Source organism: Homo sapiens, chromosome 1, assembly GCF_000001405.40.
Source record: "Homo sapiens chromosome 1, GRCh38.p14 Primary Assembly".
In the NCBI taxonomy this organism is placed as follows: domain Eukaryota; kingdom Metazoa; phylum Chordata; class Mammalia; order Primates; family Hominidae; genus Homo; species Homo sapiens.
Genome location: NC_000001.11, coordinates 84,288,993 through 84,312,210, shown reverse-complemented (window position 1 = coordinate 84,312,210; position 23,218 = coordinate 84,288,993). Strand labels below are relative to the sequence as shown.

Sequence of the window (23,218 nt, the reverse complement as noted above, 5' to 3'; positions counted from 1 at the left end):
AATCTGAGCTTATAATTTTGCTTAGCTATAAATGGCTTGGATCTTTACATAGACAAAAAAAACAATTTTTCAATGGACATATGGTTGTTTCAGTTATAGAAGTTTTGCTAGAATATTATCAGAAAAGACTAGAGAGGTATGTCACAAAAAGTAAAAGATTTTCCTATCAAGCCACCAAACAATTGCCTGAAGAATACAAGGTCTTTCTAACAAAACCTAAGACCAACTGATTCAAAATGTAAAAGCCATTAAAACTTTATTTATAGATGAAAGTACAACATAAAGATACTGCCTAATCAATGCCTGAGGTATGTTGTATCTCAAAAGACTTCCTAATTCATAAAGAAATGTCTATTTACAATTTGAAAAACTAAATTCATGGTTTAGATATTTTCAAATCTTTTATCTCTGTCAAAGAATTTTAGCTAGATATACAAAAATTAAATTCTATCCAGATGGATGGTGCTTCAGCAATGCTAGTTTTTAAAAAGATCTGAATTTTAAGAATTGGAATTTGTTGTAATTTTAAAACAAAAAGACCAGTGTTTTCTTACTGCTTCATTCCACTGTATGGTATCTATGTTCCGTTTTCTGAAGCAGACTCTTGAAAAGTGTTACAGATACTACTGTTGAATTGTTCAGCATATATTTGCAAATGCTATGGATCAATCCCAGTTAATGGAACTGTTAAAAGAAATAGAAGACAGTGAATGTAATAATCTGTGTTCTTTGCCAATGCACGTTGATTAAGTAATGGAAAAGATTTACAAAGATTTGCTGTACTGTTCAAGATTTTACTGAAACAGAAGGAATGCTTGTCAAATATTAATTTTTTTTTCTTTTTCTTTTCTTTTCTTTTCTTTTTTTTTTTTTTTTTTAGACAGTCTCACTCTGTTGCCCAGGCTGGAGTGCAGTGGCACGATCTCAGCTCAATGTAACCTCTGCCTCCTGGGTTCAAGCGATTCTCCTGCCTCAGCCTCCCAAGTAGCTGGGATTGCAGGTGCCCACTACCATGCCTGGATAATTTTTGTATTTTTAGTAGAGATGGGATTTCACCATGTTGGCCAGGCTTTTCTCGAACTCCTGACCTCAAGTGATCTGCCTGCCTCGGCCTCCCAAAGTGCTGGGATTACAGGCATGGGCCACTGTGCCTGGCCAAATATTCAAAAATTAAAGACAAAAACGACTGAATAACTTTGATATCACACTGCATATGAAACAGCTAAATTTGAAGTTCCAAGGAAATGAAAAGCTGACTTGTGACCTAGCTAAAGAGGAACAAAATTTTAGGCTAAAATTGCAACTTTTCAGAGTGCAATACAATATACAATAATAATTTCATACATTTTCTAACATGAATAAACTTCAAGAAAATTTGCAGATTTATTGAAATTGATAAGCTTATTGTTGCTTATCAATTTATGCAAAACCCCTTTGAATTCAATGTTGGTAATATTGACATGTGTTAGCAAATTGATTTAACTTGAACAGACATAGTTTTGAAATCAATATGCTTTTGCTTCCAAGTTGAATCAAGACAAATCAGTTGTCAATGTGGATGTAAATATTACAAGAAAATAATTTCTTACATAATTCAGTTATCGGAAAACTTTTAAATATGTTTGGAATTATTTGGGTATGTGATCCTACCTTTTGAACTGTAGATTTTAGGAAATACAAATGCAGATTAAATATGCCCAATGAAAATTTTATGTCCAAAATGAGAGATCCTGTAAGTCAAGCTTGTCCAACCTGTGGCTCACGGGTTCCATGCAGCCCAGGATGGCTTTGACTGTGGCCCAACACAAATTCCTGAAGTTTCTTAAAACATTATGAGATTTTTTTTTTTCTCATCAGCTATTGTTAGTAGTAGTGTATTTCATCTGTGGCCAAAGACAATTCTTCTTCCAATGTGGCCCAGAGAAGCTGAAAGTTTGAACCCCCCTACTATAAGTGTAAAGTACACAACAGATTTAGGAAATTTAGCACAAAAATGTAAAATATTTCATTGATGATGTCATGTTGATTACATGTTTAAGTGATATAATGAGTTAAATAAAATATATTATTAAAATTTATTTTACCTATTTAAATATGACCACTAGAAAACTGAAAATTACATATGCGGCTCAGATTTTATTTCTGTTGGACAGCACTGACTGATACATATATCCAGAAATTGAATTGTTAATTTATAAAATATTTGATTGTTTAACACTAGAAAAAATACCAAACCCTTCTGCAAAGCTGCCCTATCAGTTAATATTCCTACTAGCATTATATCCTATCCATATCTCACTAATGATTAGAATTGCCGCATTTTAAATTTTTTGCCAAGTGAATGGGTACGTCATTATAATCTTTACTTGCATTTTCTTGGTCACTAATGGTACTACACACCTCTTCATATGTTAATTGGCCATATATATTTCCTCTTCTGTGAAATGTTTGCTCATGTTTTGGACATTTTTCTCTGGTATTTTTCTGTTTGTGCTTTTCTTATTTATTGGTTATTACTATTGAAGACTCTGAATATAAAATTAAATATAAGGTTCACTTACTCTTCCATTTCAGAATGTGTTCAAGTAGAATCTAGGCCTTGGTGATTGTCATGCCAAAATCATATTGACCCATAATATACAGAATAACAGAGATCTGAACAAGGGTCCACATCAGAGATCTAAGAATTTTGTGGGTCAAGGCTGGGAGACTTTAGAAGGAATAAATGAATTTGAGGAGAGGAGTCCAGCATGACATTTGTTTAAAATTCTCAAGGTAGCATTTATCACAGTCATTTAGGTCAACAAATTTGAAATGAGAAGACCTGACATATGTGTCTCAATTATCCTTTTCCTCCTCTTGCAGCAACGACACAAGAACCAGGATCCAGCCTTGAAATAAGCCTGCCTCAAGACTCCTTAAAACCAAACTCATTCCAGTTTATGGGACTGAGTGAGGATAGTTATAAAACAAAAATTGTATGAAGAAAAAAGAGTTATCTTGGAGTCAGAAGAGCCAGGTTCAAACTTCAGGTTTGCCACTTTCTCATGTCATTTTTAAGTATTCACTTCTCTGAGCTTCTGTTTACTTACTTGAAAAAAAGTTTGCAATATATATAGTTTATCACTGCTGTTTCACTCTGTAATTTATAACTGTTTCCTTTTGATTCCTCACAACAACTCTATATTTTATATTTAAGAGAACTGACGCAGAGAGAAATTAAGAGATTTATTTATTCAATATTATTCTACTATTTAAGAAACAAAAGCAAGGTCAAACCCAAGTGTTCTTAACTTGAGACTTGCCATTGCAATGTCATGCTTAATTCCCCCTGGTCTCCAAATTTGGGTTAGGAGTTGCTTCTTTCCTAAAGGAAGAAAAATTTTCTTTCTCAATTAATAAACTGGCTTTTTTTTAATTAAAAAATTTTCAGATTTACAGAAAAGTTGCAAGAATAGTACAAAAATCCCGTATGCTTTTTGCCCAGATTCTCCAAAATGTTAATATTTTACCTCTCTTCTTCTCTGCCCTTCTCTTCTATGATATATAAAGAAAGAAAGCAGAAGCTTCAAATTGGAATATTTAAAATTCCATGATCTTTAAAGAGTTTTAAGAAGAAATAACCAGTACAAATATGTAAACTTCTTTCTGATGCCCAGAAGCAACCCTGTCACACATTACTCAGGTAAGAGTTAGCCTGTGGTTCTCAATTGAGGAAAATTTTTCCCCTCAGGGAACATTTGGCAATGTCTGGAGACATTTTTGATTGTCAAGGCTGGAGAGGGGTAATGCTGGCATATCATTGGTAGAAGGTGGGGATGCTGAGAAACATCCTACAATGTATAGGGGCAGCCCCCTCCACAACATAGCCTTAAGACTACATGTTATCCCTTTCTGGAGTCTGCATTATAATCTAACTCTGCCCTGTCCAGTGCTAGCCACTAGGAACCTGTGGCTATATAAATTAAATGGAACTTCTACTTCCAGTCAAGATGGAGTAATGGGGGCAATATTTACTCTTCTAACTAAAACAATAATTTAATAAAAAAGATGAAATATATGAGGCAATGGTACACAAGACATTGGTCATTGGGACAGTAATCCTTGAGAGATGGGTAAGCCATTCCACTCACTGCCTGAAGAAGGCTTTTAGGCTGTGCAAAGGTCAGTCCTGAAGAGGAGAGAGCTACAAAAAAAGAGAACTCTGGAGGTCTGCAGAGGGTTCCCTTCAAGTGTTTGGCAGAGTCCTGATCAGCACCTGCATATGAGGAAACTACCTGAGGCAGGGGAACAAACCTTGAAGGTTTAGAGGGAATGAGTCTTGGAGACGATGCAGGGATGGATATAGTGCCTTTTTCACCTGCCAGAGATGAAAATCTCAATTCAGGAGCATAAAAAAGGGTCTTAAAATATAAAAAAGGGTCTTATCACAGTAAAAGGGGAAAAAATACCCTCAGTCTAAATGCGGCTCTGTTCCTAATAAAACTTAAAGGCAAGACTTAAAAGGATCAAACTATTTCTAGTGACTTAATAGCATCCCAGGGCAAAGATCAAGCATATTTACAGAAATACAAAAACAGCCAGCACCCAACAAGGTAAAATTCACAATGTCTGTCATTCAACCAAAAATTACCAGGCATCCAAAGATGCAGAAAAATATGACCACGCAAGAAAATTCAGTTAATTGAAACTGACTGAGAAACAATACAAATAATATGGGACAAGGAGATTGAGAGAGTTATTAAGGCCATATTCTATATGTTCAAGAAGCTAGAGGAAGGATTGGATATGTTAAGTTGTGCCATGGAAGATACTCTTAAAAAGATCCACATTGAACTGCTAGAGATGAAAGCTACATTGTCTGAAATGAAAAATGCATTGGTGGAATTGACAGCAGATTCAACATTTTAAAAGAAAAGATTAGTGAACACGAATGCAAAGCAATAGAAGCTATCAAAAACGAAACACAGAGAAAATGACTTTTAAAATGAACCAATCATCAATGAATTATGGGACAATATCAAGTGGTCAAATCCACATAAAATTGGAGTCCCCAAAGACAAAGGGAGAGAGACCAAAAGTATTTGAAAACGAATGGTTGACAATTTTCCAAACTTGATGAAAACTAGGCCCAGGCACAGATCTTAGAAACCAAACAAACACAAAGCACAAGAAACATGAAGGAAACCACACCAAGTCTCATAACCAAATTGCTTAAGACACCAATGATAAAGAGAATATCTAAAAGTATACAGAAAAAAAGACACATATATACAGAAGAACATAGATATGAAAAAGATGAGGAACAAAAAGATGCCTGTTTTCACTTTTTCTTTACTTTTTCTTATTTTATTTTATTATTATTATTATTATTATTATTTTGAGACGGAGTCTCACTGTCACCCAGGCTGGAGTGCAGTGGCACAATCTTGGCTCATTTCAACCTCTGCTTCCCCAGTTCAAGGGATTCTCCTGCCTCAGCCTCCTGAGTAGCTGGGATTACAGGCATGTAACACCACACCTGGCTAATTTCTCTCTCTCTCTCTCTTTTTTTTTTTTTTTTTTTGGTATTTTTAGTAGAGATGGGGTTTCACATGTTGGCCAGACTAGTCTCGAACTCTTGATCTCAAGTGATCTGCCCACTTTGGCCTCCCAAAGTACTGGGATTACAGGTGTTAGCCACCATACCCAGCTCACCACTTTTTTCAACTTTTCACTGAAGGTTCTACTCAGTGTAATAAAGGAGAAAGAAATACAAGGCATTCAGACTGGGAAGGAAGAATTAAAACTGTCTTTATTCACAAGACATAATTGTCTATGTTACAAAATGTGGTGTAATCTACTAAAAAGCTACTAGAAGTAATAAGTGAGTTTAGCAAGGTTGTGGCATATAACATCAATATAAAAAATCAATTGTATTTGTATATGTTAAGATAATTGAAAATTCAAATTAAAAAAGCAATACCACTTAAAATAGCATCCAAAACATGAAATATTAGGGATGCAACTGGCAAAAAGGTGCAAGATCTTCACAGTGAAAACTACACAACATTGCTGAGAGAAATTAAAGAAGACATAAGCAAATGGAGAAAAATACTGTGTTCATTTGTTGGAAGACACAATATTGTTAAAATACCAACTCTCTTCAAATTGATATATAATTCAATGCAATGCCAGTCAAAATGTCAACAGATTTTCAAAAAAAAATTTGGTGGAAACTGACAAGCTAATTCTAAAATTCATATGGAAATGTACAGAGGCAAAACAACCTTGAAAAAAACAAAGTTGGATTGCTAACACTACCTGATTTCAAGTTATATTTATCAAAACAGTGTTATATTGGCATAAATATATGCAAAAAGATCAATGGAATACAATAGAGAGCCCAGAAATAAGCCTGCACATATGTGATCAATTATTTTTCAGCAAAGTTGCAGAAGTGTTTGAACAGAGGTGGAAAGATTGGATATCCATAGCACCACTACCACCACCACACAAAGCACTTCAACCCTTCAAACCCTTATCTCACACTACAAACAAAAATTAACTCAAAAACCATAGTCCTAAACCCTGAAACCTAAAATTGTGAAACTTCTAAAAGAAAACAGAGGAGACAATAATTGTAACCTTGCATTAGGCCAAGATTTCTTAAATATGACACCAAAAGCACTATCCATAAAAGAAAAAAATTGATAAACTAGACTTCATTAAAATTTAAAAACTTTGATACTTTGAAAGATGCTATGGAGAGAATGAAATGATAGGTCACACACTTAAAGAAAATATTTTCAAATAATATATATGATAAAGGACATATTCATAATATATAAAAACTCTCTATACAATAAATATGAAAAAACCCGATACAAATATGGGCAAAAGATTTGAACAATACTTCATCTAGGAAGATACATGAATGGCAAATAAGCACAGGAAAAGATGCTCAACATCATTAGTCATTAGGGAAATAAAACTGAAAACATAAAACACCTGATATAATGTCTAATATGAAAGTGATTGATCACACTAAGCTCATGAGCATGTGGAACAACTGGAACATGCCACACACTGCTAGTGAAAATGAAAATGGGACAACCAGTTTAGAAAACAGTTTGGCAGTTTCTTAAAAAGTTAAACAGACACCCACCATAGAGCCCAACCAATTCCATTCCTAAGTAATTATGAAAGAGAAATGAAAGCATATGTCCACACAGAGACCTGCACGCAAATGATCAAAGCAGCTTTATTTATAATACCTAAGAAACAGAAACAATTCAAATGTCTATCATCATTTGGATGGTAGTAAACAAATTGTTGTAGATCCAAACAGTGAAATATTACTCAGTAATTAAAAAGTAATGATATATTGATATACACAATAACATGGATAAATCCCAAATTAATTATGCTGAGTGACAGAAACTATATGTGTGTGTGTGGGGGCGGGGGATGTATACACATTCATTTATATAAAATTCTAGAAGAAGCAAACTAATTTATAATGACAGCATAACAGTGGTTGCCAGGGGATATGGGGGCAGAAAAGGACAGGAGGGAGAGATTACAAAAGGTCGTAAGGAAATTTTGGAAGTGATGGAAATATTTGTCATCTTAATTGTGGCAGTAGTTTCAAGAGGGGATAAAAATATCAAAACTTACTTTACACACATGCAATTTATTATGCAAGGATTATACTTCAGTAAAGCTGCTAATTTTAAAACTAATTACAATTAAGTAAAATTAAAAGTTCAGTTTCTTACTTAAACTAGTCACATTTCATATTCTTCGTAGCCACATGTGGCTAGTGGCTACCATTTTAGACAGCACAAATACAGAACATTTCCATCATTGTTGAAAGTACTGTTGGATAACACTGATCTAACTCACACATAAAACAGCATCTGTTTCTTTCATTTCTCCTCCACCTACCTACCCCAAACTTTAGGGATGGTAATCAGCATGGCAGTATGGCACTGATATATAAATTACCCGAGAACTTTAAAAAACAGATTTTATTAAGTTAGTTTTAATGTAACTTTGCTGTGAAGCAAAATATACCTTCTATTCATAAACATATAGCACACTGTTTCCTCATTTAGATATCACAGCTTCTATGGATTATATTTAATTAGTTTCCTCCAAAGCTCAAGTTGACGGCAATTTTAAACTAAATGATATGGAAAGAAATGAAACAGATAACTCCCTCTTGGAACTCACTTTCTCCTTGTAATCAAAGTACTTATTGCTTTGCTATAACTCCTAAGTGAGAATATACATTTTTCATATACTCATAAATATCAAAATATTATGTTACATGTGCAATTGAATTTTCCCATTTAAAATAATCAAATATATAACTCTTACATGACACATATAAACACAAGTTTCAAATGTGAGAACAGACTTTAAAATAAACACCATGTATGCACAGAAATGTTTCACATTCATTAAACAGTTCATAAAATTAGGACGGAGGAGTTGTTAAACTATATTCTTACTGAAGCTTTTTCCCTTCCTGCACTATAGCTCTTAGTTTTCAGAGTTAGAGGTGATTGTATTTCAAAAAAAAAATTTGAACTCTATTTTCTGCCCCCATTCTGTGTTGTCTATGGAAGAGTCTCTGCTTGGAGTTTTTGTTTCAATATACAGAATGCAGGGCTGAAATCCTCAACCATCCTTGTTCCAAAGCCTGATACACAAACCTTTCATATATATTTTGATGTCTGAGTCATCTCTGTCTTAGAAATGCAATACAGAAAAAGGTAACTGGGGTAGGGGGGAGAAGGGAGGCTGCTGGCCAGTGTAGACAAACCAAGGCGACCCCCAAACTGTGTATTGTAGTAGATAAGCAAGAAGTACGAAAATAGAAACTAAGTCCCTCTGTTGTTTGCAGAAGCAGAACTCAGAAGCCAGCTTCACTTACTTTTTTACACCGACAGAGCCATTTTCCTTGTTTTCCATGTCAACAGATAGCATGGGAAGGCTGCAGGGTTCCTTTACTTCAGCAACTAATCAATAAGGGAGAAAAGCTTGTGTTTAATTCTTAGAAAGTGAGAGAAGAATATATATTCTGAATCGGAAACATAATGGTCCCTTTTACAGCTTCACACCAGTTCACGTATGTTTGTTTAAATCTCCAGTTCCCTCGGCGATTGGAGAGATGTGATTAAACCTAAAGAACTGGAGGAGACGGATTGGGGTGCTTTCATCTGTACTGGCACTCCCTGCCTTGACAATAAGCATTTGCAAATGAAATTGAATCCTCGTTGAAAACAAGTGCTGTGTGAACTGGCACAGCTTCTTCTGGGTGCCTAGCTCTCACTTAAGACACTGCAACTCATAAATGAGTCAAAGTAGAGAAAAACAATCCCCCTTTTCCTGCCCCCCTCCCATTATGGGCTTTGATTTGTTTTTTCTTATTGTGTTTGGTTTTTTTTTTGTCCACTCCCCCTTGCTCCTAGATTTTTTCATTGCAATGCAGAAGGACACTTAAAGCTTTTGTCAGCAAGTATTCCCCTACCTCACATTCTCAACGAAAGCCTCAAAAACCCGTCTGTGAGATGGCCATGCTGTGGTAAAGCAGGAAGCTCACAAAAAATGCCAGATAGCCCTTAGCACAGAAAGGTGGTGCTGGTGTGTGTGTGTGTGTGTGTGTGTGTGTGTGTGTGTATGTGTAAGAAAGAGTAGGTAACTCATTAGATTTATGAAAAATCATCAAAACATTTAAGGAGATATTGTAGCATCCATCACTCTGTCTTTTTGTTTAGTAGGATGAGGGCTGTGGAAAATTAAAAGCCTTCCACAATTAATATGCAATTAGCAAAATGAAAAAGCTACGAACAAAACTGCTTTAAGAAAAAAAAAAAAAAAAAAGGAAGAAACAGTCCCGAAACGTGTTTGCTCTTATTCAGCTGAAGCCATAAATTAAATACATTTCCACTCAAATCACTTTATACTTCGGCACTCCTTCTCTAGGGATTACTCTGACATGGCAAGTGCATCATTTAGTATATTCGCAAGATTTTATCACTGTTAGAGAAGTAGATGATTAACAAATAACACTGTAAGTGTGGGATAATTTTCACTCCTGAAACACACACATACACACAAACTTCCAGCTGCAAACCACTTAGATCATTGATAGAGAAATCCAACATTTAATATATATATATAGATATTAGCATACATTCACACACCGTTAGAGAGTAGACAGGAAGATAGTGCTGCTGCTCCATGCTAACAGAATATGATTTCACTTCAGTTGGAAACTGTTACACATTCACCATTTTCTAAGCATCTCAGAAAACAAAACAAAACACTCACAATGATACTCTGCAACACCACACTACATTGTCTTATTATTATTACTATTATTTTCTTTTCTGTGGAAGAGTAAAAAGAAAACCTACCTATAAGCAACTAAAAAATATCATTTTTTATAGGCTTATCAAGAACAGCCAAAGAAACCCCAATGTTTTCTTTCACAAAGTAGGCTGGCAAAGGAATTCAATAAGGAGGTACAATTTGACACAGTGAAATAAAACCAGGCTGGCTCTCAGCCAACATGACGTTAGGAATCACACACAAGCTGCACCAACTGCCTTCTGGTTCATGGCTGACTTTTTAAAGCTACAGTGTGCCTGTTCACTTTTGCTAACTACCTTCAGCACAATTAGTGCAAGAAATGAGTAAGGAGTCCAAAACCTGCAGAATTCTCCCTGCACCTGTCTTGTACAAAGAAAAACAAGCTGTCTCAATAGCTTCTTATTTTCTCCCTCCCCTTCATTGTTGCTGCATGATAGGTCTTAGCTGTTGTTCTGAGCATGAATGTCATGTTTCAAACTATTTCCTTTTCTCCCCAGAGGGAAAAATAAGAGTGAGAAGCCAGTGCTTATGGGCTATAACCAGAGAACACTCGGAAGCTGCAGTCCCATGTTACTCTTTTTTTCCTAATAGAGATTCATGGACAAAGTTCCCAGGGCTGGCTTTTAAGTAATCTCTTTGTGAGAATAAGGAAAGCACTGCCCAGCAGCAAATCCTTTTACTTCATTATGCAGGAAGTAACATATTTCGGAAAGGATGCAAAATAGATGACCAGATCTCCTGAAAACGCCCACATTCTTTTATTTTGGCATTTATCCTGCCAAATGAAGCCAGCAAAAATTCAAACTGAAACAAACAAAACCTTATTCTACAAAACGAAAACAATTAGTTCTGGGAGGTTTAATTTTAACTGTTTATCCCAGTTGGACAAAAAGCATAATTCAAGAAATTTAACCAACACTTACAATCTATGAGTACCCGGTACTATATTAGTTACATATGAATAGAAAGACATTATGCCCACCCCAAAATTCATAGTCTCTCCCGCCATCATCCTAAATACCAAATCAGAAAACTGGGAGGTGGAGCAGAGAGGCTGGGCAAGATCTTTTGTTTAAGTTACCCTGGTCATTCTCACAGTTCCCTTGCTTGGCTTAAACCACTTTTCCAGGAGAATAATCTCATCCCATTAATGTTCTGCACATACACAGAAAACATACATGGTTGCCTCTTCATTGAAATAAACATCAATCAACATTTGGACACTTTTAGGTCAAGATGGTCAACAAAACCACTCAAGACAGGGCACAGAACACAGGTTCCCCAGAAAGATCCTGGAAAAAGTTATCACTTGCTGTAATATCCTGTAGAATTCAGGTAGAATCTGAGGAAAAAGCTGCCTGCTTCCCTTTTTAAAAATAATCTTTTAGGACATTAGGAGATTACCTTTGATCTAAATTTGGAACCTGAATTTCAAGGTCAAAAAATTTGTTCTTTACTTATTCCAGGAATTATATTAGAAATTTTTGACTTCCTTGAAGATCAGTGCCAAGAAAGATTTCAAATATTTGCCATTGCTCCCTTGAAAAGGCAAACAATAGTAATCTAGGAACCAATTAAATATTTTTGAGCAGTATTTTTTGAGCATGGGTCAGGCATGTGGATCTTTCACCAGTGCTGATCTCAAAATGATGGACTTTTATGTAGATAAAGAGCTCTTTCACTAACAGATTCCTTAACGCTTTTGGACTTGATCTGAAATTCCTGAACTATTCTCCCAGTAAATCCAAATTGGAAGCGAGTTGGACTGGGAGTTCTGTGTCTTGGGGAGCTGGGGTTGTCCTGACAGTGCTGCTCAGAACAAAAGCATGTTCAGCTCTCCACTCTTGACGGGGAAAAGGCAAAGAAACTGTAGTTACACCCAGCTCTTCCTTAGACACAGCCACAGGAGAAAGGATTCTGTGAAGTTTTTCCAAGCATCTCTTCCTGCATATACAAAGGGACATCCCCTCCCATCTGGCCTGCTGTGATCAAAAGTTTGCCTGTTACACAAGAGTAAAGTTTCAGAAAGTGTTGTAGGAAGTTAATCCCGTTTTATAAAAAGTGAGCCACAAAGACACTCTAAATTATGACAACAGGTTTCACTTACCAGCTAGTTTCTAACTTTGGTAGTAAACTGACACTTGTGAATATAAATAAATAAATAAATAAATATATATATATATATATACACTAGTACTCACACACTCCCTCCAACAAACTGTTTGCCATCAATCCTCTGCTGATAAAAAGTTGTGTGTGTAGTATGTAGCATAAAGTATGTGAGTGTGATGTGTGCACTATGTGGTGTACTTTGTGTGTGGGTGTGGTACGTATGTGGGGGTGTGTGTGTATGTGGTGTGTGGGGGTGAGGGGGAGAGGCAACCAAACAAGACCTTCCGATCCAGCACATTATGGGATATGCTGAAATAACTTTAGAGATCCTGAAATCTCCAAATTATATGCTGAAATAACTTTGGTGTCAGTATTCTGGAGCAGAACTGTCGACCCACTTGGGAATGCGCTCAGATAGGGAGAGGGGAGGCGGTTAGGAAGGGCGGGAAGCTGTTGACTTTGATTGGCTTCTTTTCTAGATCAGCATTCGTCCCCCAGGCAGAAAGGACTCGCCTAGGGAGCCAGCGCGGTCCCAAAGGAGCCGCCGGCCCTGCCTCCCGGGATCCGACCCCCGGTGCAGCCAGCCTGAAGTCGCCCGAGGGCAGGGCCGACCTCACCGAGCCGGGAATGGCGTCTCAGGGGCAAGTGAGAACTGGCCTGAGAAGGGGACGGTAGGGGCAGAAGACGCCAGGCTGCCTCTTGGACCAGCAGCGCCGGCCCAGAGCCACACGACTCTCTGTGGCACTGGCGACAAAGCGGGGAAAGTTTCTGGCTAAGACTTTCACGGAGAGGCAGTTCGCTGGCGTTTAGTGTGGGGGCTCCCCGGGGAAGCCGGTCTTTGGAAAGTGGAGGGTGGAGGTGTGGCGTTCTCGGGGTCCCCGCCGAGTCGTGCCACCACCCCGTCCCGCTCCCCGAGCACTGCCAGCAGCCCCAGGCGAGCCGGGGCTCTCCGTGGGGCAGGGCACGCTTCTGCCCCCACTCCACTCCACAGTGAGAGCCCACGTCCGTGGGTGCAACGAGCTGCAGGAGCACCGGACACACGGCCAAGATGTGTTTTTGGGAGGGCAGAGCGGTTTTCATTGCGGCATTCTTCGTTTCCTTTCATCCTGGAGAGAGGAGAGGGCGGGCGCCTTCCCACGCCCTGGGCGCACAGGCAGATCACTTACCTCCCCGCATGGCCGCGCCGGGAGGTTTGCCCCGCGCGGAGCTCGGCGGCCGCCACGCGCAAAGCCCCGGTGCAGCCGGCCGGACGCGCGCGGCACGCCGGGAGTTGTAGTCCAGCGCCGGTCGGCGGGGGTCGGAGGGGCGGGGGCCCCCAGGAATGGGGAAGGCCAGTACTAGAAGGGACAAGATCTGGGCAGGACAAGGGAGGATATTTGCAAAAACTTAAAACTTCCAGGAAGATGGGGGGAGGGGAACCCTCCTAGAGAGATTTTTAAAGTGAGGTTTTTTTAGGTTAATGCCATTTTCTTCCTGTCTTACTCGCTTATGACAACCCCAATGAAGTTTTAAGCTGGACTCTGGCAGTAATGTTAAGTAGAGATTTTCTCGGCCAACTTCATATTATTTAGGGTTCTATTCTTCCTTCACCTTGAACACAGATGTGCCATTCTCTGCTTGGATGCACACAGAATATTCTTGCTCACAGAATAACTCAGTTGAAGCCCTGAGCATGTAAAAGGAGGGTGAGTAGTTAGTTGCACCTTACACATGCAGGGTGCTTTATAGCTCTCTTTACAAAGCACTTTGTACTTGATTGATTCATTATATAAGAACCGTAAAGCAACTCTGAGAGTTAGTCAGAGAAAAGCTAAAGATGCAGGGAGTTTTTTGTTTGTTTGTTTGTTTGTTTGTTTTTTGAGACGGGGTCTTGCTCTGTCGCCCAGGCTGGAGTGCAGTAGCGCGATCTCGGCTCAATGCAGGGATTTTTGTGTATCTGCATCTGCAGAGGTTGTTGGAGCCATCCTGTCTATTCGTTTCTTTCTCCAGCCTCTCTTAGCAGCTGGGAAGAGAGAGTGGAGAGAAAGAGGGATCAGGACAGATGTGGACACGGCAGAAGAAGAGGAGCCTGCTGTGACGGACTTCCTTGAAATGACAAACAAGTAAATATTTAAGGGAATAAGTAAAACCAAAAGAAGGACTCATGGGTTGGAAGAATGGAAGGAGAAGGAAAAGGCAGATGGGATAGGGATAGACATTGAAGATTGCAAACAGGCTAGTAGCAAAGAAAGCAAAAACAAACAGGGTTTTTAGAAGCCAGATAAACCTTGGATTCCTGGTGTTGTCACTTCTGAGCTATCTCTGTTACCTTAGGTAAGTTCTTTAACCTCCCCAAACCTCTTTTGCCTCATCTGTAAAATTAAAAAAAAAAAAGTTCTGACTTTATCATGTGGCTGTGCCTATTAAAAAGAGACAGGAAGCACATAGTATAGTGCTGGGCATATGCTAGGCAATTAATGTTATTTACTATTATTATCTGCAGAAATTCTCTTTGTGTTAGTATCAAAAAATAAATTGGAGTGGAAGTACCAGTTAGGAGGCTGTGACAATACTCTAAGCTACTGGCAATGATAGCTTGAACTACATTGACAGAAAGGCAACTATGTTGCCATATGAGATAGGGAAAACAGAGTACAATCAATTGGATGTGGGGAAGGAAGAAAAAGAATCAAATTGGTTGTTATTTCTAGATTAAGTAGATGATGTTGTCATTTTCATAAATAGATACAACTGATGGAAAAACAGGTTTTGGAGGAAGATGACCACTGGCTTTCCTCATTTTATTGTGCTTTGCTTTATTGCAGTTCACAGACAATGTGTTTTTGTTGTTGTTGTTGTTGTTTATTTTACAAATTGACAGTTTTTGGTAACCCTGTGTTGAACAAGTCTATTAGTGCAATTTTTCCAGCAGTATGTGCTCACTTCATGTCTCTGTGTCACATTTTGGGCATTCTCATAATATTTGAAAGTTTTTCATTTTTATTGTATCTGTTGTGGTGATCTGTGATCACTGATCTTTGATGTTACGATTGTAATTGTTTTAGGGTGCCACAGACCATGCCCATTAATCTATAAATGTTGTGTGTGTTCTGACTGCTCCACTTACCAGCTGTTCCCCTCCTCTCTCCCTCTCCTGCTCCTCCCTATTCCCTGAGACACAACAATATTGAAATTCGGCCAATTAATATCCTTACCATGGCCTCTAAGTGTTCAAGTGAAAGGAAGAGTCATACTTCTCTCACTTCAAATCAAAAGCTAGAAATGATAAACTTAGTGAGGAAGGCATGTCAGAAATCCAGATAAGCAAAAGTTAGACGTCCGGTGCCAAACAGTTAGCCAAATTGTGAATGCAAACAAAAAGTTCTTGAAGGAAATTAAAAATGCTGTTCTAACGCATACCTGAATGATAAGAAAGTGAAACAGTCTTATTCCTGATATGGAGAAAGTTTTAGCGGTCTGCATAGAGGATCAAACCAGCCCCAACATTCCTTTAAGCCAAAGCCTAATCCAGAGCAAGGCCCTAACTCAAGGGTGGAGAGGTAAGGAAACTGTAGAAAAGTTTGAAGCTAGCAGAGTTTGATTTCTTAAACGAGGTTTAAGAAAAGAAGCATAACAATGAAGTACAAGGTGAAGAAGCAAGTGCTGATGGAGAAGCTGTAACACGTTATCCGGAAGATCTAGCAAAGGTAGATGGAGGTGGCTACAATAATCAGCAGTTTATCAATGTAGACTTAATAGCCTTCTATTGGAAGAAGATGCCATGTAAGATTTTTCTAGCCAGAGAAAAGTCAAAGCCTAACTTCAAAGCTTCAAAGGACAGGCTTATTAGGGGCTAATGCACCCAGTGATCTTAAGTTGAAGCCAATTTTCATTTACCATTATGAAAATTCTAGGGCCCTCAAGAATTATGCTAAATTGACTTTACTTGTGCTTTATAGATGAGACAAAAAGGCCTGGGTGACAGCATATCTGTTTACAACATGATTTTCTGAAAATTTTAAGCCTACTGTTGAGAACTACTACTCACAAAAAAAGATTCCTTTCAAAATATTAGTGCTCATTGACAATACACCTGTTCAGCCAAGAACTCTGATGGAGATGTACAAGAAGATGAATGTTGTTTTCATGCCAGCTAGTAAAACATCCATTCTGTAGCCCATGGATCAAGCAGCAAATCTGACTCTCAATTCTTATTATTTAAGAAATCCTTTTTATAAGTCTATAGCATCCATAGATAATGATTCCTCTGATGGAGCTGGGCATCATAATTGAAAGCCTTCTGGAAAGGATTCATCATCTTATATGCCATTAAGAACGTTCATAATTCATGAGAGGAGGTCAAAATATAACATTAACATGAGTTTGGAAGAAGCTGATTCCAAGCCTCATGGATAACTTTGAGGGGTTCAAGACTTCAGTGGATGAAGTCCCTGCAGATGTGATAGAAATAGCAAGAGAAATAGAATTGGAAGTGGTGCATGAAGATATGACTGAATTGCTGCAATCTCATGATCAAACTTGAATGGATGAGGAGGTGCTTCTTATGATTGAGCAAATAAAGTGGTTTCTTGAGATGGAAACTATTCCTGGTGAATATGCTATGAACATTGTTCAAGTGACAACAGAGAATTTAGAATATTTCATAAACATAGCTGATAAAGCAGCATCAGGGTTTTAGAGGATTGACTGCAATTCTGAAAGAAGTTTTACTGTGGTTAAAATGCTGTTCAGTAGCATCACATGCTACAGGGAAATCTTTCATTAAGGGAAGAGTCAATTGATGTGGCAAACTTTACTGTTATCTTAAGAAATTGCCACAGCCACGCCAACCATCAGCAACCGACTACCCTAATGAGTTACCAGCCATCAACATTGAAGCAAGACCCTCCACCAGCAAACAGATTACAACTTGCTAAAGGCTTTAAGATCGTTAGCATTTTTTAAGCAATAAAGTATTTTTAAATTAAGATATGCACTTTTTAAAAGATATAATGCCATTGCATACTGAATATACTACAATATAGTGTAAACATTTATATGCACTGGGAAACAAAAAAATGTGTGTGACTTGCTTTATTGCAGTGGTCTAGAACTGAGCCCACAATGTTCCCGAGGGGCCTGCAGTTTGATTTTGGACATGCATAACTTAAGGGTTTATCTGTGTGAATGACCAAGTGGAAGTTGGAAATGTGGATTTGGATTTTTCATGTAGAAATGGGACTTTGAGAGTCAATTACTTAGGAGAGGAAGTTGAAGAGCATGTGAAGAGGAAAAAGGGAGGACAGCAGGCATGGGCATGGGGAGGTGGGAAGTCAGATAATAATACCAGGCAGGAATTGGTTAAGGAGGAAAGGAAAGCTGCAGGGGTGTAGTAACATGGGGTGCAAGGGAGGATGGAGAGATGAGGAGCAGCTTCTTAACAGGTCATATGCTCTAGAGAGGTAGCCAATGACAACAGAAAAGAGGCCTCTGGATTTATAGATCAAGAAACTATTGGGATTGAACTGCTTCCAGGGTTTTTTTTTTGAAATTTACCAGAGTGATTTTGCTTGTCCCAGTGATTGGGGAGTGTATTAGTGCGTTTTCACACTGCTATAAAGAAATACCCAAGACTGAGTAATTTATAAAAAGGTTTAATCGACTCACAGTTCCACATGGCTGGGGAGGCCTCAGGAAACTTACAATCATGGAGGTAGGGGAAGCAGGCACTCTCTTCACAACATGGCAGGAAAGAGAGAAGTGCTGTGAAGGAGGAACTTCCAAAGTTATAAAACCATAAGATCTCATGAGAACTCACTCACTATCATGAGAAGAGCCTGGGGGAAACTGCCTGCATGATCCAATCACCTGCCTCCCTTGACACATGGAGATTACAATTTGAGATGAGATTTGGTTGGAGACACAGAGCCAAACCATATGAGGGAGTGGGGCACTACTGGAATATAGTTGGTGGGGTCAAAGATTCTAGACATCTTCCATTGACCAGGACAGTCGCGCAGAGCGAAGAATTGTCCTGCATCCTGTGTGACTTAGTTGTCCCACTGCTCAGCTCATTTATGTAGGTGAAAAATCTGTTTATAATTATCTGAGCCTAGAATCTATTTTATATATAAACATAAATTGTTTTCCACACAGTTTTAAGTTATATCAAATTTTCCTGGAATGTTGTAAATTGGATGGCAATATCATTTATGGAATTTGAATCACCAATACAGTTCATTTTGTGGCTGTCTCTTTCATGGTGATTCTGCATATGGAACAAGTATCTGACTACTTTATTGTGTCTTTTAGCTTAGGGATGCTTGAGCAGTTGCATGTTGGATCATGCAGTTTTATTATTATTATTATTATTTTTTTTTTTTTTGAGACGAAGTCTCACTCTTGTCATCCAGGCTGGAGTGCAATAACGCTATCTCAGCTCACTGCAACCTCTGCCTCCTGAGTTCAGCAGTTCTCCTGCCTCAGCCTCCCGAGTAGCTGGGATTATGGGTGCCTGCCACCACGCCCACCTAATTTTTGTATTTTGAGTAGAGACGGGGTTTCACCATGTTGGCCAGGCTGGTCTTGAACTCCTGACCTCAGGCAAATCACCTGCCTTGGCCTCCCAAAGTGCTGGGATTACAGGTGTGAGCCACCGCGCCTGGTGGATCATGCAATATTTTATGGTAAATTACTTTATTTTGTACTTTATATTATAGTTAAGGTATTGCTTTAATTTTAGAAAATTACATAGGTAGGTAGCTTATGGCTTCTACTTCACAATGGTAAAAAGCATATTGTTTCATATTTGTTATGAAAAGGGATCATTAAGATTGACAAGATGGAGAGCTATTTATTCCTTCAGTCAATAAACATCTCTGGAGTCCCTACTCATTCTGGGTACTTGAGATACATCAATATATGAAACAGAAAAAGTTTATTGCCCTTTTGGAGTTAATATTGTAATGTGGGAGAGGCAGATGATAAATAATAAACATAAACAAAATAAGTAAATTCTCTATTAGAAAGTTATAAATGCTGTGAAAAATAAAAGGAGGATAAAGGCAGTTGGGAGTGCAGGAGAGGGTGTGGGTTGAAATGTTAAATATAATGATCAGGGTAAACTTCATTGAGAAGGTGATAATCAAGGAAAGATCTGGAGTTGGTAAGAGAATGGCCTTGTGGATTTCTGAGAAAAGAAATAGCAAGGATGCCAGTGTGGTTGGATATGGGCAGGGGTCAAGTAGAAGGAGGACAGGAAAACCCCGGGGCTGGAAACAAATAATGTAGGGCTTGTGGGCATTGCAAGAAATTTCAGCTTTCACTCTGAATGAAATGGGCAGCTGTTGGAGAGTTCAGAGCGGAAGAGTGACATGGTCAGGCATAGGTTTAAAGGATTATTCTGGCTGCTCTATCAAGGATAAATCTTAACAGGCAATGGTGGAAGCAGACTAGGCAAGATGCTATTGTAGTAATCCAGGCAAGAAATATTAGTGGCTTGAACTAGAGTGGTAGCAACGAAAAGTGATGGTGTGGATGTGGAAAAGAAATCAAGAATTCTATAGGGCATATTGGAAGAGTTTCAGGGGTTTGGGAGGGACGGAAGATGGAGATACATTAAAGTATGTTCAGGGCCTTATAGGAATGGGACTTGGGGGATGACCTAGTAGTCTAGGACTTCTTGTGGTGACTCACATAAACAGGGATAAAGGGTATAATGAAATCAGTCCCAGAGAAGGCAAGAAATAAAATGGTGAAGAGGTTGTGAGTGTGGGGGGTATTGATGAATGTTTGAGTTCCCTGACTCTGGATGGAGCTGAGAATCAGGTGGACTCTTGATCCACGTTGATGGAATGTTGAAGGCCTGGGGAGAGGAGGACTCAGTTCCTAGGCCAACGCTTATTCATCACTCCTGTCAGGAGCAGGCTGACTTGTTCAGAGTGAGTAGTCCTCTCTACCTCTGCTCTTGACCTTTTTGATGGACTTAGCCCTTTTGATGCAGTTGAGGATTGGGGCAAGCTGGTAATTACTCTAAGCACAAAGGCCCAGAAACAATGATGATTCAATAAAGTATATTCTAGAACACAGACTGAGGTAGACTTAAAATTCTGGAAATGGAGAAATTTTGAGAAATTTGGCAAATGGGGAATTTTGGCAAAGAAGGGCAGGAGAAGGTTTGGTCCTTAATGTGGAAGGATGCTCTAAGATTGGGGATAGCAGACAACTGTGTTTGTACAGTGAAGTGAAGAAGCCACTAGATGCAGAAATGTGAAAATTCAGAACAGAGGGTGTAACTGATGTAATATTTTCCTAGAGAAGAAGGAACTATTGATTGTTGATCTTTGGAAGAAAAGTGGCATAGTTTCTTCCTATAAGAAAAGAAAGAGGCCAGGCGCAGTGGCTCATGCCTGTAATCCCAGCACTTTAGGAGACTGAGGCAGGCAGATCACTTGAGGCCAGGAGTTCGAGAACAGCCTGGCCAATGTGGTGAAACCCTGTCTCTACTAAAATACAAAAATTAGCCGGGCGTGGTGGCAGGCACCTGTAATCCCAGCTACTCAGGAGGCTGAGGCAGGAGAATTACTTGAACCCAGGAGGTAGAGGTTACAGTGAGCTGGGATCATGCCATTGCACTCCAGCCTGGGCGACAGAGCGAGACTCCAACTCAAAAAAATAAAAAAAGAAAAGAAAGAAAGCAAATGGAATGATTTAGTAATATTGAGGGAAATTCTAAAGAGAAAAGGGGGTATAACATTATTTAAAGATTATTTTTATTTATTGTGAAAATACACTGTATGATAAAAAAAATTAAAGCAATCAGAAACTTAAAATAGAAAGTGAAAATTCCCAATAAACCCATTCCTAAAATAATCCCTGTTAAATGATATATATTGTCTAAATTTTTATCCTGTGCTTGTGACTTCTTTTTGTAAATGTTACATGAGGTATTAATCCATTCTTTCATTGCTGTAAAGAAATACCTGAGACTGAGTAATTTATAAAGGAAAGAGGTTTAATTGGCCCATGGTTCTGCAGGCTTTTTGGAAGCAAAGCATGATGCTGGCATCTGCTTGGCTTCTGGGGATGCCTCTGGAAGTAAAATCACAGCAGAAGGCGAAGGAGCAGCAGGCACCTCACATCGCCAGAGCAGAAGCAAGAGAGAGTGGGTGCCACACTTTTAAACAGCTAGATCTCACCAGGACTCATTCACTATTGTGAGGACAGTACCAAGGGGATGATGTAAAACTATTAAAGAGAAATCCACTCCCATGATTCAATCACCTATCACCAGGCCCCACTTCCAACATTGAGGATTATAATTCAACATGAGATTTGGGCAGGGAAACACATCCAAACCATATCGTGTGAGTACCTAAAATATGAGTATTTTTTCTTTGCAGGCTCTCAGGTTAAATAATAAATAAAAATTTGTTGAGCTTCTATTACATAACAGATATTATTGCATCAATCTTTTCGATAATTGTTATTCACATCTTCCATATAATATCTAATTTTTCTTGATTATTCAAGAATAAAAAGAAATTTGTTAAAGCCTCCTAACATTTATCTTGTTGTTTTCTTATTTCTTGAAGTTTTGCTTTATGTATTTTAATGCTGTTATTTGATACATAAGCATTTATACTAATAATTTATTTATTGTGAGCTGTGTCATTTGCCATTACAAAGTGACTTTCTTTGTTCCATGTATTAAAAAGCTTTGTTCCAAGCTTTTTAATAGCTTATTCTATCCCACTTGAAATTATTTGAATTAGATATGTTTAACCTTATCTCGATCATGTGTTTATTTTTTGAATTCACATTGTTCTTTTTTTCTCTTTGGCTTTACAATCTGTACTTTCTTTGCTTTTGTTTTGTCTTGGTTTTATTTTTATCTTCCTCTATATTTTAGTATCAAAGATTAACAAAGCTGGACTCTAAAGTGGCAAGGACAGACTTTAATCAGTAAGTAATAGAGACAATCTACAATAGAGTAATCAGAGAATAGAGATAAGCATCCAGCATGAACTGAACTCTGATTTGTATAGAGATGACCAACTAAAATAGGAGTAGGACGGGGGTGAATGAGGGCTCAGGAGAGTCAGAGAAGTGAAACATAACAAAGGGTTCACATCACAAAGTGGTAACGCCAGCTGTTTCTGGTAGGTGATAGTTACAAACACTAGGATTCTATCTTCCTACAGACTGGGAGACAGGGGCCCTATTCTTCTTGATTGTATTTCAAATAAATGGCTTTTGGGTCCTTGAGAAAGACACCCCTGAGTTGTAGGAGATACATGTACATCTCAAAGAGACAGAGGAAGGAGTCACAGTTGCAAGCCCTTTTTAGTAAATGTTCTAAGAAAGGGTGGTCAGGGCATACTGCCAGGTGTTGGCTCAAACAAATAGTAAGTTATTTGGCATTCTTGAGCTTTCTTAGTGAGGCACTTTAAAAGGAGCTAATGTCAACCTAGTGATGTGGCCTTGAAATGGTGGAGGAGAGAAAGTTCTTAAAAAAAAAAAAAAAAGAAAGTATGTTAGTTTTTGTACAAGTCTTTATAGGCCAAGACTGATACCTTACCAAGAAGAGGGCTTAGAGGAGAAGAGCTAGTCTGGTCAAGGAAAATATTTGTCATTAGTTATTTATTGCTGTGTAACAAACTACCCCAAAACTTAGCAGCTTCTAACAACACACACTTATTATCTCACACTTTCTGTGGGTCAGGAGTCCTGGTGTGGCTTAGTTGAATCCTCTGCTTCAGGG

At 38.4% G+C, this 23,218-nt stretch overlaps 1 protein-coding gene across 4 annotated transcripts in view, besides 1 other annotated feature; it reads right to left on the bottom strand.

The window, feature by feature from the left end:
• Nucleotides 1-13,673, bottom strand: part of SAMD13 (sterile alpha motif domain containing 13) — a 52,261-nt gene extending 38,588 nt beyond the window's left edge. Inside the window, exons 1-2 of one of the 4 annotated variants that reach the window (XM_017000377.3) lie at nt 12,567-13,673; nt 8,924-9,008 (exon numbers count right to left, since the gene is read on the bottom strand). In XM_017000377.3, the coding sequence (XP_016855866.1) occupies nt 8,924-9,008; nt 12,567-12,594 (113 nt within the window). In that variant the 5' untranslated portion in view covers nt 12,595-13,673. Of the gene's footprint in view, nt 1-8,923; nt 9,009-9,520; nt 9,561-10,409; nt 10,504-12,566 lie in introns of those variants that run through there. The other 3 variants (NM_001010971.3, NM_001134663.2, NM_001134664.2) reach the window with 3 other exon arrangements.
• Nucleotides 13,630-13,819: a silencer, noted in NCBI's record as "silent region_1018". NCBI's record gives its function as "represses an Ori minimal core promoter by ATAC-STARR-seq in GM12878 lymphoblastoid cells {active_cell/tissue: GM12878}" and the evidence as "EXISTENCE:reporter gene assay evidence [ECO:0000049][PMID:35858748]".